Source organism: Homo sapiens, chromosome 17, assembly GCF_000001405.40.
Source record: "Homo sapiens chromosome 17, GRCh38.p14 Primary Assembly".
In the NCBI taxonomy this organism is placed as follows: Eukaryota; Metazoa; Chordata; class Mammalia; order Primates; family Hominidae; genus Homo; species Homo sapiens.
In genome coordinates this window covers 29,190,924-29,215,368 of record NC_000017.11, presented here as the reverse complement: position 1 = coordinate 29,215,368, position 24,445 = coordinate 29,190,924, and the positions used below count along the sequence as shown (strand labels likewise).

The window sequence follows — 24,445 nt, the reverse complement described above, 5'->3', positions numbered from 1 at the left end:
ATGCCAGACATGAGTGAAGCCGTCATGGACCCTCCGAGCCAACCCGTGTACCAGCTAAACTCCACCAAGTGACCTCAGTCAATGGCACAAGGAGTAAAAAAATTATCCAGCTGAGCCTTGCCCGGAAGATGCACTTACCAACACAACGTTTATCCTTGTTGACCAGGGAGTAGTCGCATGGCCATACCTAGCTGAAAAGAAGGCTGGAAAAAATAAAGTCTTTATTCTGGGCAGACATTGCCTAGGTATAAATAAAAGTCCAATTACTATAGAAGAAGAGGAATCTCATATTAGAGGAAGGTTAACTCTGTCACAGCATGTGTGTGTGTGTAATGTAAAGTTTATATGTGTTTAGCACTGGAAAGTCATTCAATATTTGTTGGTTCTGTTACACAAATGAAGACCAGAGAGGTAGAGTGAGCTGCCCAAAGTCACACAGGAAGTGATAGTGCCCCGGGCCTTTAATATCAGCTCAGGAGCATCCAGGCAGTAGATGGACTAGGAATTTGCAGCTTCTGGTCCCAGGCCTGCCCTGTCACCTCCCAGGACTATACTCCTGGCACCTGTTCCACCTGTTGGTGGTGCCACCCACTTCCTTGTACCCACAGTCACTTCTGGGTGAATGAGGGGACCCTGGATTAGGGCAGTACTTTCCTAGCATCTTCCAGAAAAGAGGGAAGACAGGCAGGAGGTGGCCCCAGCCTAGAACCCTGGGCAACGCTTCTGAGTGTGGGCTGGGAAGCCATTGACAGGTGGGCCAACCTGGCTGAAGGACCTACAGTTGGACCTTTTGATCCTTGGAAGGAAGATGGCTAGGTAAGACATTAAGTCTTTCCTAGCCATCTTCCTGCTTCTGCATGGCAAAACCAGTTCACGCCAGCATTTCATCACATCCTCATCCAGGGAGGCACCCGTCCCATCTACTTGCTCATGGACAGCGGTTCCCGATGCTGGTGACTGGGCAGCCTGAGGAACACTGCCGAGTCTTGTGGTGCATCTGAATGGTGTGGCTCAGTGATTGGATGACCTCATGCAAGATGATTTTGCCCTCTGAGGATCAGCTTCCTCTTAAAATGAGGATCATAAGTGCCTTGTAGGACTTTTATGAGCATTAAATGAAATAATATTGGCCGGGCATGGTGGCTCACACCTGTAATCCCAGCACTTTGGGAGGCCGAGCGGGCAGATCACCTGAGGTCAGGAGTTCGAGATCAGCCTGACCAACATGGTGAGACCCCGTCTCTACTAAAAATACAAAAATTAGCTGCGCATGGTGGTGGGCGCCTGTAATCCTGGCTACTCAGGAGGCTGAGGCAGGAGAATCACTTGAACCTCCAGGCAGAGGTTGCAGTGAGCTGAGATTGTGCCCCTGGACTCCAGCCTGGGTGACAGAGCAAGACTCCGTCTACAAAATAAAAATAAAAATAAAAATAAAAATAAATAATATAGGTAAAGCGCTTATCACAATGCCTGGCCATAACAAGCACTTAACACATATTAGCCATGATTATTATTGCTATTAAGTCCTGCCAGGCTATAATATCTCTGGCTCTAAGAAAAAGGAAATTGGAAGAAATAATAATAACAATAAGTTCAGATATAGTTATTGATTATTATTATTATTAGAGACAGAGTCTCACTCTGGAGTGAGGCTGGAGTGCAGTGGAGTAATCTTGGTTCACTGTAGCCTCAACCTTCTGGGCTCAAGTGATTCTCCCGCCTCAGCCTTCCGAGTAGCCGGGACCGCAGGAGCACATCACCATGCCTAGCTATTTTTTTTACTTTTTGTAGAAACAAGGTCTCATTTTGTTGGCCTTGAATTCCTGAGCTCATGTGATCCTTCCACCTTGGCCCCACAGAATGCTGGGATTACAGGAGTGAGCCACTGCGCCCGAACTTGATGTGATGTTTTGCGGACCTTACCCATTTTTCCCTTACTGGCATTTTAACACTTCATGGCCACCACTGGCCCCTCTTCTAGGAGCTGGACTGTCCTGTGCTCGTTGCCTCAGAAGATGATGCTGCAGAAATAAAGTTGCTTCCTGGCCTAGTTCTCCAGAAACCCAGCCTTTAGGGGAATGGAGAGGCTTCTGAACATCGGCCACATAGTCGAAGGAAATACCATAAGTGAAAGCTGGGTGGGGCAGGTTTAAGGGGAGTGGGCTTCCCTTTAGAAACTAAAGAAGCTTCCTCCAGGCTGGTGGCAGAGGAAAAGCGATGACTATGTAGGTGGCCATGAGTTCCAGCAAGAATAACTCTACTGTGTATTTGGGGCCACAGCCTAGGCGAGCAGAAAGAGAATGGCCCCATTGTGAGGCTGGGCAAATGGGAACTTGCCTCCCTGGAATCCTGGAACATCAAGGCTGGCATGAATGTAGTAAAAAAAAAAGCCACCAGAAGCCAGGCGTAGTGGCACAAATCTGTAGTCCCAACTACTCAGGAGACTGAGACGGGAGGATGGCTTTAGCCCAGGAGTTCAAGGATACAGTGAGCTGCAATCATGGCACTGCACTCCAGCCTGGGTGACAGAGCGAGATATTGTCTCTAAAACAAAAAACAAAAAACACCCATGTGTGAGCCAATGACTAGCTGAACAGTGGATGACACAATGATACTAATCAGCTGCAGATGACACAGAGGCAGAGTGCTTCCACCCCTGCCTTTGGACACTTCGAAAATTTCCTGGTGCAGAAGGAGGGGGAAACTAAAATTGACTGGGATTAAACTGAGTTATACAAAAGCTAATACCTATTTCCTATACCCTGCAGTTGAGGGTGGAGTCATTCCTGCTACACTTGTGTCAAGTACTGTATAATTTATGATGTGAAGCCATGGAGTTTGAGTCAACCCAGATCTGAGTTTGAATTCCAGCTGTGTGACCCAAGGTAAGTTACCTAACCTCTCTGTTCCTCAGTTTCCTCTGCTACAATGAGGGGATCCTAATATCAATCTCATAGAGTTGGTAGGAGGATTTGAATAAGGAAAGGGATGTAAAGTTTTTATGTGTTTAGCACTGGAAAGCCACTCAATATTTGTTGGTTCTCCTACACAAATGAGGACCAGAGATGTAGAGTGAGTTGCCCAAAGTCACACAGGAAGCCATAGAGCCCTAGGCCCTTGGTTTCAGGCTTGAATGCTGAGAGAGGTCAGGAAGGCCAGAGAAGCTGGGCAGGCTTTCTGGAGAAGGTGGCCCTCTCTTGGGAAGGTGCTCCTAAACTTCATTCTCAAGCTTCGCTGCCCCTTCCACCAAAATGGGAAAAAGAACTGCTTTGGGGAGGGATAAGCCACAGCTCCTGATTCACTCCTGCCAGTGTAGACCAAGATCTCTTGGGGGCCAGGTGGTTTCCAAGCCAGGCCTCATCTGCCCTTCCACACGGGTGACCACACAGGACCCTCAGGGCGTTCACACCTGTGGAGCAAATTTAACAAATCTGGCAGGCCATGGGCACAGCTAGGTCCTGAGTGCTGGCAGTGGGGGGATTCTCGTGGCTTCTGTTGTGCCGAGTGGGCAGGATTTTGAGCACGAGGGATGCCCATTGTGTCTCCCAGCTTTTGTCCCAGCTTTTTCTGAGTTTTCCTCCTGCAGGGCCCCCAAGGCCTGGGGATAAACAGCCCACATTCTGCACATTCCCTGCTTTGCAGTACCCCTAAGCAGGCAGCAGATTTATTTGGACCTCCAGCTCTCAGAGACAACTACTGCCTTTCAGGTAAGAGAATGGTGGTCCTGGCTCTGGGGGTTTCCAGAAGGCAGAACCATACTCAGAGGGATTTAAGATAGACTGAAGGAGCATCTTGCTGATGGGGAGGAGAATGAGGCTCTGGAGCAGGTTTTGTCTATGGGTTTGGTTCAAGTTTTTCTCTTTTTTTTTTTGTCTTCTGGGATCATGAGATGTACAGGCCTTTCATGTCCTACCATCTCTCCTTTGGAGGCTGCAGAGTACAAAGGGCATAGGCTTTGGAGACAGCAGACCTAGATTGAAATCCCAGCTCTGACATTCAGTTTTCTCATCCATAAAATGGGAAAAACTATATATAATTATATATATGGAATAACTATATATATCCTTATTATAAATTCCATATAGCCATTCATTCAAAATGCTTTCATTGATTTTTGAGGAATACTTGTACCAGTAACCAACCTAAGGTTATGAATGATAGACAACTGTAGTTTTGACAGGAATGTTGGTTGATACTCTCATTTAAGTTGAGGAGGAAGATGAAAGTGAAACAATGAAAATTTTTGTCCTGAATTTCATTCCTTATTCAATGACGTGAGCAACCTCTTTGGTGAATCAGATAGTAGTTTACAAACACTGGAAGAATATTTCCTTGAATTCTTGTGCTATTCATTACGTAATGGCTACAGACAAGACACACTATTAAGTTTAATCTACATAATTAACAATTTCTCCATCAGTTTTTTTTTTTTTTTTTTTTGAGACAGAGTTTTGCTCTTGTTGCCCAGGCTGGAGTGCAAAGGTGCCATCTCAGCTCACCGTAATCTCCGCCTCCTGGGTTCAAGTGATTCTCCTTCCTCAGCCTCCCGAGTAGCTGGGATTATAGGCATGTGTCACCATGCCCGGCTAATTTTATATTTTTAATAGAGTTGGGGTTTCTCCTTGTTGGTCAGGCTGATCTCGAGCTCCCGACCTCAGGTGATCTGCCCACCTCAGCCTCCCAAAGTGCTGGGATGACAGACGTGAGCCACCGTGCCCGGCCTCCATCAATATTTTAAGTCTCAACAATCAACGAAACAATAGATCAAGCCCTGTTTTGCAGTTTTGCTGATTTCCATACTCTTACCATGGCCAAGTTCATGCTACCAATGTGACATCACTGAGCATGGAGTTGGGAGGAGATTTACAGCAGCACACCACAGTATTGCACTTCCGCCACACAGATGTAATAGACATTCATAATCTCAAGAACATAGATAATAGGAAAGTGTAGTAAAATAATTAGGAAGTTATGAGTTTTGTTTTGAAGATAATTTATTTAATTGTAAGTTTATATAATTTAATTTTTTATAATGACTGTGCTTAACCGACTCTGAAAAGTTGACAATCAGCTCTTGTGAGATGGTGCAAGCTGGCTGCAGCTCACCAGTGCTCAGGAGAGAAGGTGGGCCTTGTAAATGGGAGGAGTTGGCAGGGTGTGGCTAAGGGAAATTGGGCAGCACCCCCCTTTCCTAAATGGGAAACCACTAACCAGGTCCCAAAAGCTATTGCCCATGATGTGTAGGGTTGTCAGATTATCCAATTTTCTTTCCCAGAAATCTGGGTTTTTATGCGATTCTCTTGATTTAAGAAAATTGGCAACAAGTGAAGACATTTTTGCAAACATAGTGCAAGCCAAACAAAACCTATTTGTGTGCAGAATGCAGCCTGTGGGCCCCTCTCTGCCTTCACACATGCCTCATGAACTCTCCTGTTAGGGACCCATTGAGCAGGGCCAGGACTAGGGTGAGGGGAGTGAGGCACTCACTTCAGTCATAGTACTCAATGGGATGCAAACAACTCAGTAATCAAAATAAACAATATTTTAATGCCATATTAAAAAAAATTTTTAGGGGTGGGGTCTTTCTATGTTGCCCAGGCTGGATTCAAATTTCTAGGCTCACACAATCCTCCCACCTCAGCCTCCCGAGTAGCTGAGACTATAGGTGCACCCCACTGTGCCTGGCCAATGCCATATTTTTTAGCAATCAAATTAATGCAAAAAAAAATCCATATTGAACAAAATATTTTCAATAAAGACAGAATCAGTAACAGTATCATGCCAGGGCACACTGGAGCCTGAGGCAAAAGGAAAAATCCATAATACTGATTTGGGACTAGGGGAGCTTAATGTGCACTTGTTAATGGAGCTTAATGGCACCATCAGTGCCATTCTCTGGCCCAGTGTTCTAGGGCTTTGGGGAGGGCAAGGATACATTAAGATCTGAAGCTGGGAAACTTCCTTCCAGACCTTGGCTCTTCTTGAAGGCTTCTGTTTTCCATGTGGCTCTTAGGAAGGCCCAGAGAATGCTTGCTTAGCAACCTGCCGCAACCCCAGAAGATCTGAGTTTAGAAGGGGAGCGGAATCCATCCACAGTGGAGCTGATTTGCATGACAGGGCTTGTCATTGCTGAGGACCTGGGGAGTCACCACTCCCGACCCTGCAAGGTCCTTGCTGTGTGACTTTGCGCAGCTGACTGGAGCTTCACAATTTCCTAGGATATGGGGCCTATGTTTATTCTCCCTGACTTCCAGCCAGTCACAACATGTTGTTTACCCCTTGTGGAGTTTGACGTTGTATTGTTTTTTCTTTTTCTTTTTTTTTTTTTTAATTTTAGTTTAAGTTCTGGGATACATGTGCAGAACGTGCAGGTTTGTTACATAGGTACACATGTGCCATGGTGGTTTACAGCTCCTACCAGCTCGTCATCTAGGTTTTAAGCCCCGCATGCATTAGGTATTTGTCCTAATGCTCTCCCTCCCCTTGCCCCCCACCCTGCGACAGGCCCCCGTGTGTGATGTTCCCTTCCCTGCGTCCATGTGTTCTCATTGTTCAACTCCCTCTTATGAGTGAGAACATGCAGTGTTTGGTTTTCTGTTCCTGTGTTAGTTTGCTGAGAATGATGGCTTCCAGCTTCATCCATGTCCCTGCAAAGGACATGAACTCATTCCTTTTTTTTTTTTTTGAGATGGAGTCTCGCTTTGTCACCCAGGCTGGAGTGCAATGGTGCCATCTCGGCTCACTGCAACCGCCATCTCCCAGGTTCAAGTGATTCTCCTGCCTCAGCCTGCTGAATAGCTGGGATTACAGGTGCCCACCACCATGCCCAGCTAATTTTTGTATTTTTAGTAGAGATGGGGTTTCACTATAATGGCCAGGTTGGTCTCGAACTCCTGGCCTCAAGAGATCCCCCCGCCTTGGCCTCCCAAAGTGCTGGGATTACAGGCGTGAGCCACCGTGCCTGGCTGAGTTTTACATTTCACATCCTAGAATATAAAGGTCAATTCTTTTCTCCCCGGTTTCCAAGCAGAAAAACACTTTGTTTAGCATATATCAGTGGTTCTCAAATAAGGGTGGGGGTAATGTTGTCCATCAGAAGACATTTGACAATAAAGGCATTTTTGGTTGTCGTGGCCAGGAGCAGGGGTGCTACTAGCATCTACCAGGAATGCTGGAGGCCAGGAATGCTGCTAACCCTCCTACAATGCCCAGGGCAGTTTCCTACACTGTAGTATTATCTAGTCCAAAATGTGAATATGCTGAGGTTAAAGCTGAAGTTAGGAAACCCTGGCCTATAAAGATAGATCCCTGCCCCATTTTCAAAGTTCTCCTAGGAGACTATATTCTCTTCCATTGCCTTAAAGCTCTGGCAACCAGAAACTTCTAACTCATTCACTCCTATTGTTATTTATAACTTTTTTCCCTTCTAACTTCAAGAGAGATAGAAAACAAGCTCCTCAATCCCCACTCTCTTCTTGGGCTAACTGGCATTTCCCCCTCGCTATTCTATGCCTTGTTGATTTCTCTCTTTTTCACCCTTCTCCCACCAGGGCTCAAATCAAGAGAAGCAGGGGCTCAGTTCTGGCTTTTGGGGTTTGAGAATGAGCCCCAGCCTCTGCTCTGTGGAGAGGCAGGCCAGGGAGACAGGAGCTGACAAGGATGAGCAGGGAGCTCACCAGATGATTAATAAATATTTGAACCATGGGGGGCAGGTAGTTTCCTTTTGCCACCCCCTCCTGGATGTCTTTGCTTGGCCAGAAAAGAAGGCCAGGTGTGGTGGCTCATGCCTGTAATCCCAGCACTTTGGGAGACTGTGGCAAACGGATTGCTTGATCCCAGGAGCTCCAGACTAGCCTGGGCAACATGGTGAAACCCCTTCTTCATCAAAAAACACAAAAATTAGCTGGGTGTGGTGGCGCAGCTACTTGGGAGGTTGAGATGGGTGAATCACCTGAGTCCAGGGAGGTTGAGGCTGCAGTGAGCTGTGATCGCACCACTGCACTCCAGCCTGGGCAACAGAGTGAGATCCTATCTCAAAAAAAAAAAAAAAAAAAAAAGGGAAAGAAAATGCCCAGAAGCCTCCATCTCCCAAGTGCCTCCATCTCCCAGGTGCCTGCTGCCTGACCAAGGAGGCATACATAAACTTCCAGCCCTGCAGGAACTTCTGCTTCCTAAATGGTGGTGGTGAGGAGTTTAAATACTCAGACTGGGGGTTTCTAGTATTTTCTTCCTGAAGAGTGAAGAGAAGGGGTTTGGGGCAGCAGGAGAGGAGCTGCTAAGAGCAATAATAATAGCTTCTATTTATCACTGAGCACCCCTACCAGGTGCCAGGTACTGAGGAAGGTCCTGCCCACCCCCCACCATTTGGTTATATAAGCTTTTTGGGTTTTTTGTTTTTTGTTTTTTGTTTTTGAGACAGAGTCTCGCTCTGTTGCCCAGGCTGGAGTGCAGTGGTGTGATCTTGGCTCACTGCAACCTCCGCCTCCTGGGTTCAAGTGATTCTCATGCTTCAGCTTCACAAGTAGCTGGAATTACAGGCACGCACCACCATGCCCAGCTAATTTTTATATTTTTAGTAGAGATGAGGTTTCACCATGTTGGCCAGTCTGGTCTTGAACTCCTGACCTCAAGTGATCCACCCACCTCGGCCTCCCAAAGTGCTGGGATTACAGGCGTGAGGCACCGCGCCCAGCCATTTTGGTTTTTTTTTGAGAGAGAGTCACTCTGTAGCCCAGGCTGGAGTGCAATGGCACGATCTTGGCTCACTGCAACCTCCGCCTCCCAGGTTCAAGTGATTCTTGTGCCTCAGCCTCCCGGGTAGCTGGGACTACAGGCGTGCACCACCATGCCTGGCTAATTTTTGCATTTTTAGTAGAGACAACGTTTCACCACGTTGGTCAGGCTGGTCTGGAACTCCTAACCTCAAGTGATCTGCCCACCTTGGCCTCCCAAAGTGCTGGAATTATAGTCATGAGCCACTGTGCCCGGCCAATTATATAATTTTTTGTAGTAAAATATACATATAAAATTTACCATTCTGGCCGGGTGCGGTGTCTCATGCCTGTAATCCCAACACTTTGGGAGGCCAAGATGGGTGGATCACCTGAGATCAGGAGTTTGAGACCAGCCTGGCCAACATGGGGAAACCCCGTCTCTACTAAAAATACAAAAACTAGCCAGGCATGGTGGTGCGTGCCTGTAATTCCAGCTACTCGGGAGGCTGAGGCAGGAGAATCACTTGAATCCAGGAGACGGAGGTTGCAGTGAGCTGAGATCATACCACTGCACTCCAGCCTGGGCAACAGAGCGAGACTCTGTCTCAGTAAATAAATAAATAAATAAAATAAAAATTTGCCATTCTAGCCATTTTTAGGTGTACACTTCATTGGCATTAAGTATCTCCACAGTGTGGCACAGCTGTTATCACTCTCCACGCCCAGCACTTTCTCATCATCCCAAACTCTGCACCCATTAAATAATAACTCCCCATTCCCCCTCTCCTAGCCCCTGGGAACCTCTGTTCTACTTCCTGCCTCTATGAATTTTGGGCAGAGTTTTTAGTAATATATTATCTCTCATTGTCAATATGTCTTTGTCATTCTATGTTAAAAATCTCTACTTCACAGACAGGAAAACAGGCCCAGAGGAGTTAAGTAATTGGCCCCAAAGCCACACAACTAGCAAGTGACAGAACCAGGATTTGAACCCAGGTCTGTCTGGCTCCAAAGGCCAGAGAAAGGAGGGGCAAAGAGGGAGAATGGAGGAGCTGCCTGAAGTGAGGAACGGGTGAGGAATGGAGGAGGCTTGCATTTTCTTTCTTTCCCTTCCACGGACAGCTTGCTCAGGAACGCTGACTGGGTGTCCCTCTCTCTCTCTGACCTACCTAATTTAGGCCTGGAGCTTTGAATGAGAACAGGTGGGTTTTTTTCCTGCCTGGTGCCTCTGTTTCCCCAATTTCATCTGATATCCTTCCTAGCTGTGATAAGGAGGAGCCAGCAGTGGGGGAAATTTGAACTCTGGGCTCTGAGTAAAATCTGGCAGAGCTTCCTCCGGAACCTCCCTCCTCTCAGGCCTTTCTGTTCCTGGACAAGTTGACCAGTGTGTGAGTCTATCTGAGCAGCTCCCTTGTGCTGGCTGCTCTGTAGGGCACAACAACAAGATAAGGCTTGATAACAGGGAATGAGGCCAGCCAGAATGTGCACAGGGATCCTGCATAGCAGTGAGCATAAGGAATTCAGGGATGCAGGCATTCGGGGTGGGTTGGAATAGTCAGGGGAGAATTCCTAGAGGAAGTGGGTCTCAAGAGGTGGGTAGGGTTGGGATGAAAGAAAAAGCAAAGAGTGTTCTTGGAGATGGGAATAATTCAGAAGTCTTGGAGAGTACGCCTCTCTCTGGAGCTCTGGGAACCCCAATGATGGAGGAATTCTATCATCTACCCATTCATTCTTTCACTCATTCATTTAATAAACATATATTAAACACTTACTTCATATTTAGAGTGGTGATGGCCGGGTGCGGTGGCTCACACCTATAATCTGCACTTTGGAAGGTCGAGGTGGGCGGATCGCTTGAGCCCAGGAGTTTGAGACCAGCCTGGGCAACATGGTGAAACCTCGTCTCTACAAAAAATACAAAAATTAGGCAGGCATGGTGATGCACGCCTATAGTTCCAGCTACTTGGGAGGCTGAGGTGGCAGACTGAGGTAGGAGGATCACTTGAGCCTGTGAGGCAGAGGTTGTGGTGAGTCCAGATTGTGCCACTGCTTTCTAGCCTGAGTACAGAGTGAGACCTTATCTCGAAAAATAATAAGAGTAGTGACAAGACTTCCTGGAGCCGCCGGCCGGGGCCGCTGGCTGCACTCAGCGCCGGAGCCGGGAGCTAGCGGCCGCCGCCATGTCCCACCAGACCGGCATCCAAGCAAGTGAAGATGTTAAAGAGATCTTTGCCAGAGCCAGAAATGGAAAGTACAGACTTCTGAAAATATCTATTGAAAATGAGCAACTTGTGATTGGATCATATAGTCAGCCTTCAGATTCCTGGGATAAGGATTATGATTCCTTTGTTTTACCCCTGTTGGAGGACAAACAACCATGCTATATATTATTCAGGTTAGATTCTCAGAATGCCCAGGGATATGAATGGATATTCATTGCATGGTCTCCAGATCATTCTCATGTTCGTCAAAAAATGTTGTATGCAGCAACAAGAGCAACTCTGAAGAAGGAATTTGGAGGTGGCCACATTAAAGATGAAATATTTGGAACAGTAAAGGAAGATGTATCATTACATGGATATAAAAAATACTTGCTGTCACAATCTTCCCCTGCCCCACTGACTGCAGCTGAGGAAGAATTACGACAGATTAAAATCAATGAGGTACAGACTGACGTGGGTGTGGACACTAAGCATCAAACACTACAAGGAGTAGCATTTCCCATTTCTCGAGAAGCCTTTCAGGCTTTGGAAAAATTGAATAACAGACAGCTCAACTATGTGCAGTTGGAAATAGATATAAAAAATGAAATTATAATTTTGGCCAACACAACAAATACAGAACTGAAAGATTTGCCAAAGAGGATTCCCAAGGATTCAGCTCGTTACCATTTCTTTCTGTATAAACATTCCCATGAAGGAGACTATTTAGAGTCCATAGTTTTATTTATTCAATGCCTGGATACACATGCAGTATAAGAGAGCGGATGCTGTATTCTAGCTGCAAGAGCCCTCTGCTAGAAATTGTAGAAAGACAACTACAAATGGATGTAATTAGAAAGATCGAGATAGACAATGGGGATGAGTTGACTGCAGACTTCCTTTATGAAGAAGTACATCCCAAGCAGCAGGCACACAAGCAAAGTTTTGCAAAACCAAAAGGTCCTGCAGGAAAAAGAGGAATTCGAAGACTAATTAGGGGCCCAGCGGAAACTGAAGCTACTACTGATTAAAGTCGTCACATTAAACATTGCAATACTAGTTTTTTAAAAGTCCAGCTTTTAGTACAGGAGAACTGAAATCATTCCATGTTGATATAAAGTAGGGAAAAACATTGTACTTTTTGGAAAATAGCACTTTTCACTTCTGTGTGTTTTTAAAATTAATGTTATAGAAGACTCATGATTTCTATTTTTGAGTTAAAGCTAGAAAAGGGTTCAACATAATGTTTAATTTTGTCACACTGTTTTCATAGTGTTGATTCCACACTTCAAATACTTCTTAAAATTTTATACAGTTGGGCCAGCTCTAGAAAGTCTGATGTCTCAAAGGGTAAACTTACTACTTTCTTGTGGGACAGAAGGACCTTAAAATATTCATATTACTTAATGAATATGTTAAGGACCAGGCTAGAGTATTTTCTAAGCTGGAAACTTAGTGTGCCTCGGAAAAGGCCGCAAGTTGCTTACTCCGAGTAGCTGTGCTAGCTCTGTCAGACTGTAGGATCATGTCTGCAACTTTTAGAAATAGTGCTTTATATTGCAGCAGTCTTTTATATTTGACTTTTTTTTTAATAGCATTAAAATTGCAGATCAGCTCACTCTGAAACTTTAAGGGTACCAGATATTTTCTATACTGCAGGATTTCTAATGACATTGAAAGACTTTTAAACAGCCTTAGTAAATTATCTTTCTAATGCTCTGTGAGGCCAAACATTTATGTTCAGATTGAAATTTAAATTAATATCATTCAAAAGGAAACAAAAAATGTTGAGTTTTAAAAATCAGGATTGACTTTTTTCTCCAAAACCATACATTTATAGGCAAATTGTGTTCTTTATCACTTCTGAGCAAATACTCAGATTTAAAATTACTTTAAAGTCCTGGTACTTAACAGGCTAACGTAGATAAACACCTTAATAATCTCAGTTAATACTGTATTTCAAAACACATTTAACTGTTTTCTAATGCTTTGCATTATCAGTTACAACCTAGAGAGATTTTGAGCCTCATATTTCTTTGATACTTGAAATAGAGGGAGCTAGAACACTTAATGTTTAATCTGTTAAACCTGCTGCAAGAGCCATAACTTTGAGGCATTTTCTAAATGAACTGTGGGGATCCAGGATTTGTAATTTCTTGATCTAAACTTTATGCTGCATAAATCACTTATCGGAAATGCACATTTCATAGTGTGAAGCACTCATTTCTAAACCTTATTATCTAAGGTAATATATGCACCTTTCAGAAATTTGTGTTCGAGTAAGTAAAGCATATTAGAATAATTATGGGTTGACAGATTTTTAAAATAGAATTTAGAGTATTTGTGTGGGGTTTTGTTTGTTTACAAATAATCAGACTATAATATTTAAACATGCAAAATAACTGAGAATAATGTTGCACTTGTTTACTAAAGATATAAGTTGTTCCATGGGTGTACACGTAGACAGACACACATACACCCAAATTATTGCATTAAGAATCCTGGAGCAGACCATAGCTGAAGCTGTTATTTTCAGTCAGGAAGACTACCTGTCATGAAGGTATACAATAATTTAGAAGTGAATGTTTTTCTGTACCATCTATGTGCAATTATACTCTAAATTCCACTACACTACATTAAAGTAAATGGACATTCCAGAATATAGATGTGATTATAGTCTTAAACTAATTATTAAACCAATGATTGCTGAAAATCAGTGATGCATTTGTTATAGAGTATAACTCATCGTTTACAGTATGTTTTAGTTGGCAGTATCATACCTAGATGGTGAATAACATATTCCCAGTAAATTTATATAGCAGTGAAGAATTACATGCCTTCTGGTGGACATTTTATAAGTGCATTTTATATCACAATAAAATTTTTTCTCTTTACAAAAAAAAAAAAAGAGTAGTGACAAATAAGATACAGTTTCTGCCATTGAATGATTCGCAGTCAAGTAATGGAGATAATTCTTATGTTTTAAATGAAATTTGTTTATAAATGGAAATTACAGACATTATGTTCAGCAGACAATGCACTAAGCAGGAGACCACCATGGGCATGGTCAGTCCTTTCTGGGATAGGATCAGGAAACTTCCTTGGAGAAGGTACTGCTTGAACTGAATGTTGGGAGGTAAGTAAGAATTGGCTGGAAGACAGTGGGGCTGGACAGGCAGAGGAAGAGGGTGAGTGACTGCTCAGGAGCATGAAGCTGTCTGCAGGTGTGTAGGGCTTCCAGGAAGTCTGAGAGCTGAAGGGTAAGGAGGACACAGATGGGGCTGGAGGTGTAGGCAGAGACTAGATTAGAGAGGGTCTTACATGCCTTCTTGGGGAGTTAGGCTTTATCCCAAGGACAATGGAAGCCATTGGAGAGTGAGTTGTTTATTTATTTATTTATTTATTTATTTATTTATTTTTTCTGAGACAGGCTCTCATTCTGTCACCAAGGCTGGAGTGCAGTGGCATGATCTTGGCTCACTGCAACCTCCACCTCCCAGGCTCAAGTGATCCTCCCACCTCAGCCTCCCAAGTAGCTGGGATTACAGGCATGCACCACCACACCCAGCTATTTTTTGTATTTTTTGTAGAGACGGGGTTTCACTGTGTTGCCCAGACTGGTCTCAACTTCTGAGATCAAGTGATACATCCACCTTGGCCTTCCAAAGGGTTGGAATTACAGGCGTGAGCCTTTGCACGCGGCTGAGTTTTGATGAGGGAGATGAAACCATATGCATAACCAGATATGCATTTTAGGAATGCAGCCATTTAGCCAGGTGTGGTGGCACGTGCCTGTAGTCCCAGCTACTCAGGAGGTTGAGGCAGGAGAATTGCTTGAACCCAGGAGGTGAGGTTACGGTGAGCTGAGATCACACCACTGCTCTCCAGCCTGGGCGACAGAGCAAGACTCCGTCTCAAAAAAAAAAAAAATCTATAGGAATGCAGCCATTTGAGGGTAGATCAAAGGGACAAAACTGGAGGCAGAGCAAGTTACTAGGAGGTTAGTGTAATAATGCCGGCAAGAGAAAGGGGAAGGTCTGGACTAAGTCTATGCCATGGACTGATGAGAAGGCAGTGGGTGTGAGAGATATTAAGGAAGTAGTACTGTGGGGACTTGGTTACCAATTAGATGAGGAGAAGCGAGAGGGAGAAATGATGGATAATGATCAGGATTTGGGCAACTTGGATGATGGTGCCATTCACCAAGACAGGAAGAGGAGTAGCTTTGGAGGAGAGATAATAATACTTAATATTAATGAAGTACTTACCATGTGCCAAGCACTTTTCTAAGTCCTTTACATACATTAACTCAAGTAACCCATACAACTCTATGAGGTAAATCCCCTTAGAATCTCCATTACACAGATGAAGAAACAGAAGCATAGAGAGTTTAAGCAACTTGCTCGAGGTTACACAGCTCTGGGTGTCTAAGTCTGAGTTCATAGCCACTATAACACTCCTTTCCAGGAGAGTAAGTTTTGTTTGTTTGTTTGTTTTGAGAAAGAGTCTCACTCTGTCACCCAGGCTGGAGTGAAGTGGCATAATCTCGGCTCACTGCAACCTCTGTCTCCCAGGTTCAAGTGATTCTCCTGCCCCAGCCTCCTGAGTAGCTGCGATTACAGGCACCTGCCACCACACCCAGCTAGTTTTTGTATTTTTAGTAGAGCTGGGGTTTCACCATGTTGGCCAGGCTGATCTCAAAAACTCCTGACCTCAGACGATCCGCCTGCCTCAGCCTCCCAAAGTGCTGTAATTACAGGCGTGAGCCACCACACCCGGCCCAGGAGAGTATGTTTAATGTGAGTTGGAAATGCCTGTGGCCATCCTAGTGGACTGCGTCCTCCAGGACCAGTAAGAGGCTTAAAGTATCCTGAGGAACATTAATGTCTACAGAGTGGAGAGAAGAACAGCACATTGACTCAAACGGAGCAGCCAGGGAGATAAGAGTCAAGACAACTTGGCTTCCTGAAAGTTAAGGAGGAAGAAGGAAGGTTCTCAGTAGGATCTCCAGGATTCTGTTTAGGAGGGAGTTAGAGAAGGCAATCAGTTACAGGGAAGGCTGGGGTCTGGTCTTTACCCTGAGTTTGTATAGTAAGCATGCTACGTACTGCTGCGTAGTAAGCAGGCTACGTACTGTGTCAGCTGGGTGCAGTGGCTCACGACCGTAATCCCAGCACTTTGGGAGGCTGAGGTGGGAGGATCGCTTGAGGCCAGGAGTTCGAGACCAGCCTGGGTGAGATAAGAAGACTCCCTCAAGCCTCTACAAAATATATATATTATATATTATATAATATATATTATATATAATATATATTATATAATATATATTATATATAAAATATATATAATATATATTATATAATATATAATATATATAAAATATATTATATAATATATAATATATAAAAAATATATAATATATATAATATATATAATATACAATATATATAATACACACACACACACACACACACACACACATATTTTCTGAGATGGCGTCTCACCCTGTCGCCCAGGCTGGAGTACAGTGGCATGATGAGCTCGGCTCACTGCAGCCTCCGCTTACTGGATTCAAGCGATTTTCCTGCCTCAGCCTCCCGAGTAGCTGGGACTACAAGGCATGCGCCACCACGCCTGGCTAATTTTTGTATTTTTAGTAGAGTCAGGAGTTGGGGTTTTGCCATGTTGGCCAGGCAGTCTCGAATTTCTGGCCTCAAGTTATCTGCATGCCTCAGCCTCCCAAAGTGCTGGGGTTACAGGCATGAGCCATGGTGCCCGGCAAATTTTTTTTTTAATTAGCTGGGCATGTGGGACACACCTGTAGTCCTAGCTACTCAGGAGGCTGAGGCAGGAGGATCACTTCCGCCTAGGAGTTTGAGGTTACAGTGAACTATGTTCATGTTACTGCACTCCAGCCTGGGTGACAGAGTAAGACCCTGTCTCTAAAAAAATACAATAAATAAATAAACTACATGTTTATTTGAGAGGCAGAAGGGAGAGTGTTGACAGAAATAATGGGTGTAAATGCCCCACAAGCTATACCCTTGGGAATTTTTTCAGTAATTCTCAGGGTCAGAAGCTGCAGAAATGTAAAGTAAAATGAGATTGTTGCAATATGAGGCCTTAAGGAGAATCCACTGGACAGAGACAGGAGGATGTAAGGCCTGTCTCTTTCAAACCCTGACATAGTAGTCAAAAAACATGTTACCCTGGACTCGGAAGAAACACAATCTAGGTCATGAATTTCCACCGTGGCATCTTGGGAGAAATATGCCTGGTACTATGTCGATCTGAAGAAAATGCCAAGACAGTTGGGAGGCCCGAAAGCCTGTTGAGTTAGGAAGAGTTCAGTGGAAGCCTAACTGTAATAGAAGTGTGCAGCCTGTCTTGGTGAATGTTGGGCTGCGTTGGGCTCCTTCTGGGAGTCACTGCTTCCATCTTTTCTTCTGCAGTGTCCTTTTCTCTGCCAGCTTGTTCTTCCCATCCTTGTCAGGCAGCGAGTGGCATGCCTGGGCGTCAGGCACAGATGGAGCTGGAGCTCTTGCTGTGGGCCAGAAATAGCTTTGCAAATATCTGGCTGTGGGGGCATTATGTTTTCGTCCCCTTCCCTTCCTGTCCCCTCACTTCAATTTCTTGTGATTTCTGTGTCCACAGAAATCACAAGATGAGCGACTGGTCATTCCTGGGCTGGCTCCTGACCCGAGTGCAGAACGATTCCACCGTGGTTGGCAAGGTATGGCTCACTGTCCTGGTCTTACACATCCTGCTTGTCGCCCTGCTGGGAAGTGCTGTCTGTGGGATGAGCACTGCAAGTTCATCTGCAATACCCTGCGGCCTGGCTGCACCAATGACCACTTCTCCCACTTCCGCTGGGGCTTTCCAGATTGTGCTGGTGGCCGTACCCTCCATCTTCTTTGTTGTCTGTGTGCTGCACTAGATGGTGAATGGGAGACAGTGGATGTGGAGAGGGGGTACCTGCTGGAAACCGTGCAAGAGCTGGCAGCTGGAGGGGCTCTCCCTGGACCCAGGCTGGGGCCCCTTGGGGCTTCTTTCTTTCTAGAGGGGCAGCTCTTAGTAGGAGAGGAGGTTTTTCCCCAAATGCCTTGGGGCTGCCACCTGGTACCCCAGCCTGCAGTCATACAGGGTCCTGGCTGTCTGCACTGCCCACGTGGTGCTGCGGGCCTGCATGGAGCTGGCCTTCCTGGTGGGGTCTACTCTCTGGGTGTGATATGCCATGGTTGCTTCACTGCCACTCCTCCCCTGTCCCTCCAGTCCTGACTGCTTTGTGTCCAGAGCCATGAGGAAGAAAATCTTCCTGAACTTCATGTGCAGGTGGGGTTGGGCTGCTTCCTCCTGAACCCGATGGAGTTGTGCTACCTGGGCTGGGTCTTCCCTTGCCAGGCACGCTCTGTGGCCTGCACCAGCTAGTGCTACTTCTGCTCCACTGTGATGAGGAAGGACCGTGCTCCAGGTGCCCTCCTGCTGGTGAGTGCCCCAGCAGTGCAGGCCCCAGCACCGCACGCCCCATGCTCACTGCCCGGTGGTGACAAGCAGCTGGCTTAGGGTAGCAGCAGAGACCTGACACTCCCCCCCAGCAATGCCACTCAGCAAAAAAATCCTGCCATCCTGCTTGGTCTTTGAGGGTGGGGAATGTGGAGTGGGAGTGGAAAACCCTGCTTCTTTCTGAAGATGTTACCTCAACAGACACAGTTTAGTGAAGTGATGAAGAGTGAGGCCTCTGGAACCCAGGTTCAAATCCCAGCTCTGCCATTTACCAGTGGTGTAACCTCAGACAAATTGCTTAACTTCTCTGTACCCCAGTTTCTCTAACTGAAAAACGGAAATCATAATAGATCCTCACTCCTACTTCATAGGAATGCTGTGAGGGTGAAATGAGTTTATACATGTAAAGTGCTTATAGATAGTAGCTGGTAACAAACGTTAGCCATTTGTATTAACCTCAGCTGCCTACAGCGTTGCTTTTGCTTGCCTAGCTTCCTGGGCCACCCACAATTGTGGAATCTATTGTCAATTCCTCCCTCAGTTGCTCTTACGGCTGTTGGAAGCCAAGTCCCCACACATTCTTCCTTGTAAGTCTCTCCTACACCTGTCCCCTCTGTTGGGTCCCCAAGTCATCTTCCTTGTTCAAGTTTGTATTTTCGGCCCCCTGCACTGCTGTTGCTGAACCTGCCAGGCACCTCTCTGCCTGCACTGCCCTTTCCTCTATTCCAACATACACCTGCCTCGCTGTGGAATCTCCTTGAATTAATCACTTAAAGTTCCTATGCCTGGAAACCAGCATCTTCCATGAGCCAGCCTGGACCTCCTTTTCTAGCCGGATCACCTACTTTTTCCAAAGAAGCCCTCCATTCTAGCCACACCAGGAGCTGTGCCTGGGGCTCCCTCCCCTACCTCCCACCCTTTGCTTGTGTTCCCTCCCGGGGACCTCTGACGTGGGAGGCTTCAGGACTAAGTTCGAATCCTGCCCCGCCACTCGGTGGTTGTGTGAGCTTGCGTAAGCTACTTGGTCTTCTGGTGATCAGTTTCCTGCTGTGTCAGAAGAGACTAATCATACTTTCTTCACAGGGTCATTGTGAGGATTAAACAAGATACTCTGAGTAAAGTGCAAGGCACACAATGTTCATCAATGAGTAGTAGATGCCATGATTATCACCTACATTCTACTATTATTGCTCAGATACTACCTTTTTTCTGTGCAACGTTCCTTGACCACTGCTCTGATTTTTTTCCTCTGTGCCTCCAAGGCAATTTCACTTAACAATTAGTCACGCAGTATTTTGTGACTTCCCCTTTACTGTGGTCTTCAGCAGTTATTTAAATCCCATCCTGCTGTGTAACTTTGCACATGTCTCTCATTGGTCTTTCATCTCAGTTGCAAGGAGGGGTGGTGACGATGTGCTTTGCAGGAAGAGGACACAAGCTTCTGCTCCCAGCTTAGCACTTTGCGTGGAATAGGAGCTCAACTCATATATGCCGATTTAATTAATTTTGAAATCTTTAGGCTACAATTAGAACTGAGTCCAGACTGAGCTGTACTTGAGGCATGTCAGAAAAGCAGAGTGACAGACATTCCTCCAGTGTCTTCCACAACTTGGGCCGATTTCTAACAATCCTTTAACAACTAAAAAAGTTCCTTGCAGGGTCTAATTTCAGTCCTGCTTGCTGCAATTGAAGCTGCTTTTCAGCCTCAGATTATTGATGTCTAGGTCCTAAAAAGTGTGTGTGGCGGGGGCGGCAGGCGCAGTGGCTCACGCCTGTAATCCCAGCATTTTGGGAGGCCAAGGCGGGCAGTTGCCTGAAGTTGGGAGTTCGAGACCAAGCTGGCTAACATGGTGAAACCCCGTCTCTACTAAAAATAAAAAAATTAGCCAGGCATGGTGGTGCACGCCTGTAGTCTCTGCTACTCAGGAGGCTGAGGCAGGAGAATCACTTGAATCCAGGAGGCGGAGGTTGCAGTGAGCCGAGATCACACCTCTGAACTCCAGCTTGGGAGACACAGCAAGACTCCATCTCAAAAAAAAAAAAAAAAGTGAGGGGGACAATATCTAGGATAATTGGAGATGTCAACCTCCTGTGACCCAGCAATTCTATTCCTAAATATATGCACCAGAAAATATCTTGCACAGTGAGCACCTGAAGATATGTCTCACAATGTTCATAGCAGCATTATTTTGCAAATAGCAAAAACCAGAAACAACCATGAATATTTATCAACAGAATAGACAGACTGTGTTATATTCACATCATGGAATATTATACAACAGTGAAATGAATAAATTAGAGCTAATCATATTAATAGGAATCTTTCTTCTTTATTTTGTTATTCTTTTTTTAAAAATAATAGGAATCTTTCAATGATGAGCAAAAAGAGCAAGTTTCAGAAGAGTAATGACAGTGTGGTATTATTTTTACAAACTAGGTAAAATAATATTTTATATTGTTTGAGGATATATGCTATGTAATAAAAGCGTATGGAAGTGCATGGAAATAACAAACATCCAATTCAGAATAGTGGTTGCCCCTGGGAAGGGGGAGGATAATGCAGGGTGGTACTGAGTGTTCAAACTGAGTTTGAGTAATTCTTTCTTTCTTTCTTTACCTCCCTCCCTCTTTCCCTCCCTCCCTTCCTTCCTTCCTTCCTTTCTTCCTTCCTTTGTTCCTTTTCTTGGGATGGAGTTTCGCTCTTGTTGCCTAGGCTGGAGTGCAATGGTGCGATCTCAGCTCACCGCAACCTCCGCCTCCTGGGTTCAATCGATTCTCCTGCCTCAGCCTCCCAAGTAGCTGGAATTACAGGCATGCGCCACCAAGCCAGCTAATTTTGTATTTCTAGTAGAGACAGGGTTTCTCCATGTTGGCCAGGCTGGTCTTGAACTCCTGACCTCAAGTGATCTGCCCGTCTCGGCCTCCCAAAGTGCTGGGATTACAGACGTGAGCTACTGCACCCAGCTATTGTTTAATTTTTTAATTTTTTGTAGAGATGGGGTCTCCCCATGTGCCCAGGCTCATCTTGAACTCCTGAGATCAAGTGATCCTCCTGCCTTGGCCTCCTAAAGTGCTGGGATTATAGGTGTGAGCTACCGCACCCAGCCCAGATAGATTTCTATGTAGAGCCATTTTCCAAGGAAAGAATAATGGAGACATAACCTGGTTTTGTTCATTCTGTCTCTGCTGGGAGGATTATAGCCCCCCTCTATAAGTGGGAACTCTGAGCTGGAGACAGGTGACAGGATTTGCTGGATGCTATGTGGGAAATCAGGAGACCCTGCTGGTTACTCTTTCTTTGGAACAAACTGGATTTGTGGAAATTACTTGTGGTTTTAGAGCCATTGAGACTTGAGTTTTAATCCTGCTTCTGACATTATCTATAATAGCTGTGTGGTCTTGGCCAATCTCTGACCTTTTAAAGCCTCAGTTCCTCATTTAAATAGGAAAATAACAACATGGAGTTTGCAGAGTTGTTGGAAGGATTAAAATGGGAGTGGTCCACCTTGCTCTGGTTTGGTACATGGTGGAAATATAGCTCAGGTCCTTTTTCCCATGCTCATAATCAGCTAGTCAGTGACCTTCTCCTGGGCCCCATCTGTTCTCAGGGAATTTAGCCAGCTCTTCTCCGTGACTATAATCAGGGCTCTTGACCGAAGGGAAAGCCACTTTCCATGTAATTTTGACATCTTGTGCCATGGAAATAATTAATACATTTATTGTCTTAATACATCTATTAATTAAGCAAATAACTACTGGTCAGTATAATATGGTAATCAAACTTTAGGCTTCAGGGTCAGAGATCTGAGTGCTAGTCTTGGCTATGCAATTACTAGCTGTGTGACCTGGGCAAGTTACTTCTACTGTCCACGCCTCATTTCCTCATCTGTATAATGGGGATAACAGTGCCTACCTCCATGGGCTTTGCTGAGAGTATTAAATGAGAACACACATATGGTGTTTAGCAGTAGCTATTATTACCCTATCATAATCCCAGCAATGTGCTTGGGACTAGGGGGAGGAAGAAGTATAAATAAGACTGGTTTTGAAGCATCACAGTCAAAAGACATGATGACAAATAAATACCATATACATTCATAGAATGATAAATGTGGTAAAAGAGACAGAAAGTGCTGGAGTCGGTGAGGGACGACCAACTCCTCCTGAAGGGGTTGTGGGGCAGCTCCACAGAGAAGCTAACATTTAGAATAGACCTTGAAGAACTAGTGGACTCCCTCAACTTGGGAGATGGGGAAGGATGTTTCAAATGGAGGGGGCAGCACATACAAAGGCATGGTGCTACGTTCTGGGGAGAGCAAGGCATTTCCCATGGCTGCTGCATGTAAAGAGTCTTTTGGGTTATGCTAAGAAGTTTGGATTCTGCTGGGCATGGTGGCTCACACCTGTAATCCCAGCACTTTGGGAGGCCTAGGCAGGCAGATCACTTGAGCCCAGGAGTTTGAGACCAGCCTGGGCAGCATGGTACAACCCCGTCTCTACAAAAAATACAAAAATTAGCTGGGAGTGGTGGCATACACCTGTGGTCCCAGCTACTTGGGAGGCTGAGGTGGGAGGACGACTTGAACCCAAGAGGCGGAGGTCGCAGTGAACCAAGATTGCACCATTGCACTCCAGCCTGGGTGACAGAGCCAGACCCTATCTCAAAAAAAAGAAAGAAAAAGAAGCTTGGATTCTATTCCCTAGGCCAGGTCAGCAAACTACTGCCCTTGGGTCAAACAAAGAGAGAGGTGGCTGTTATGCTACATGTTTTTGTAAATAAAGTTTTTTTGTTTTTGTTTTTGTTTACTTTTGAGACAGCCTCTTACTCTGTGGCCCAGGCTGGAGGGCAGTGGCATGATCTTGACTCACTGCAACCTCCGACTCCCGGGCTCAGGTAATCCTTCCACCTCAGCCTCCCGAATAGCTGGGAGCACAGGCACACACCACCACACCTGGCTGAGTAAATAAAGTTTGACTGGACCACAGCCATGCCCATTCATTTATGTATTGCTTTTGTGCCACAATAAGAGTTGAGTAGTTGAGACAGAGACCATCTTGTCCCCAAAGCGTAAACTATTTACCATCAAGTCCTTTACAGAAAGTGTGCTGACCCCTGAGCTGGGCCATTGGGAACCTTTGAGGAATCCCAAGCCAAGAAGTGACATGATCATATTTGTATTATGGAAAGACAACTCTGGCAGCCACATGGAGGACCAGTTAGAGGGGATGAAGCGGAAGCAGGCGACCACGAGAAGGCCGTTGCTATTGTCCAGCTAAGAGTTGACAAGGCCTGAATTGAGGCGATGGCAGTGGGAATGAGTGGCTGATGGAGATCTGAGAGATTTTTGTTGTTGTTGTTTGAGGTGGAGTCTCGCTCTGTCACCCAGGCTGGAGTGCAGTGGCATGATCTTGGCTCATTGCAATCTCCACCTCCAGGGTTCAAGCGATTCTTGTGCCTCAGCCTCCGGAGTAGCTAAGATTACAGGTATGCGCCACCACACTTAGCTAATTTTTAGTCGAGACAGGGTTTCACCATGTTGGTCAGGCTGGTCTCAAATTCCTGACCTCAAGTGATCTGCCTGCCTCGGCCTCCCTAAGTGTTGGGATTACAGGCGTGAGCCACTGCACCCAACCTAGATTTGAGAGATATTTAGGGATTAGATCAGTAGGACTTGGTGCCTGAGGATGGTGGCTGAAGGAGAGGAAGGAGGAAGGGAAAGTGGACTTCTGGCCCCAGCAAAAGAGGGTTAGGGTTATTAACCAAAAGGAAAAAGTCTGTGGTGAAGGTTGTACATTTCACTTTGGATACAGCTGAGGGTATTTGTAAGTGATGGTGGACATACCAGGCTGGCCTCTAGAGTAATGTCTGCGTGGAGATTTGGGAGTTATCCACTGTGTGGGAGGTGTTTAGGAGTCCTGAGAATGAACAAGATCTCCCAAGGAGGGAGTGTAGGATCATAAGAGCAAAAGGCAAAGGAAGAAATCCTGAGAAGTGTCAGCAATGAAAGTCAAACAGAGGAAGTATAT

General features: G+C 45.4%; 2 pseudogenes, besides 1 other annotated feature; both read left to right on the top strand.

The window, feature by feature from the left end:
* Positions 2,908-3,408: an enhancer, noted in NCBI's record as "H3K4me1 hESC enhancer chr17:27538979-27539479 (GRCh37/hg19 assembly coordinates)". NCBI's record gives its function as "activates a minimal SCP1, AML or CMV promoter by ChIP-STARR-seq in primed H9 embryonic stem cells {active_cell/tissue: H9 hESC(primed)}" and the evidence as "EXISTENCE:reporter gene assay evidence [ECO:0000049][PMID:30033119]".
* Positions 10,824-13,809, top strand: TWF1P1 (twinfilin 1 pseudogene 1; annotated as a pseudogene).
* On the top strand, positions 17,580-18,295 carry LOC100421028 (gap junction protein alpha 4 pseudogene; annotated as a pseudogene).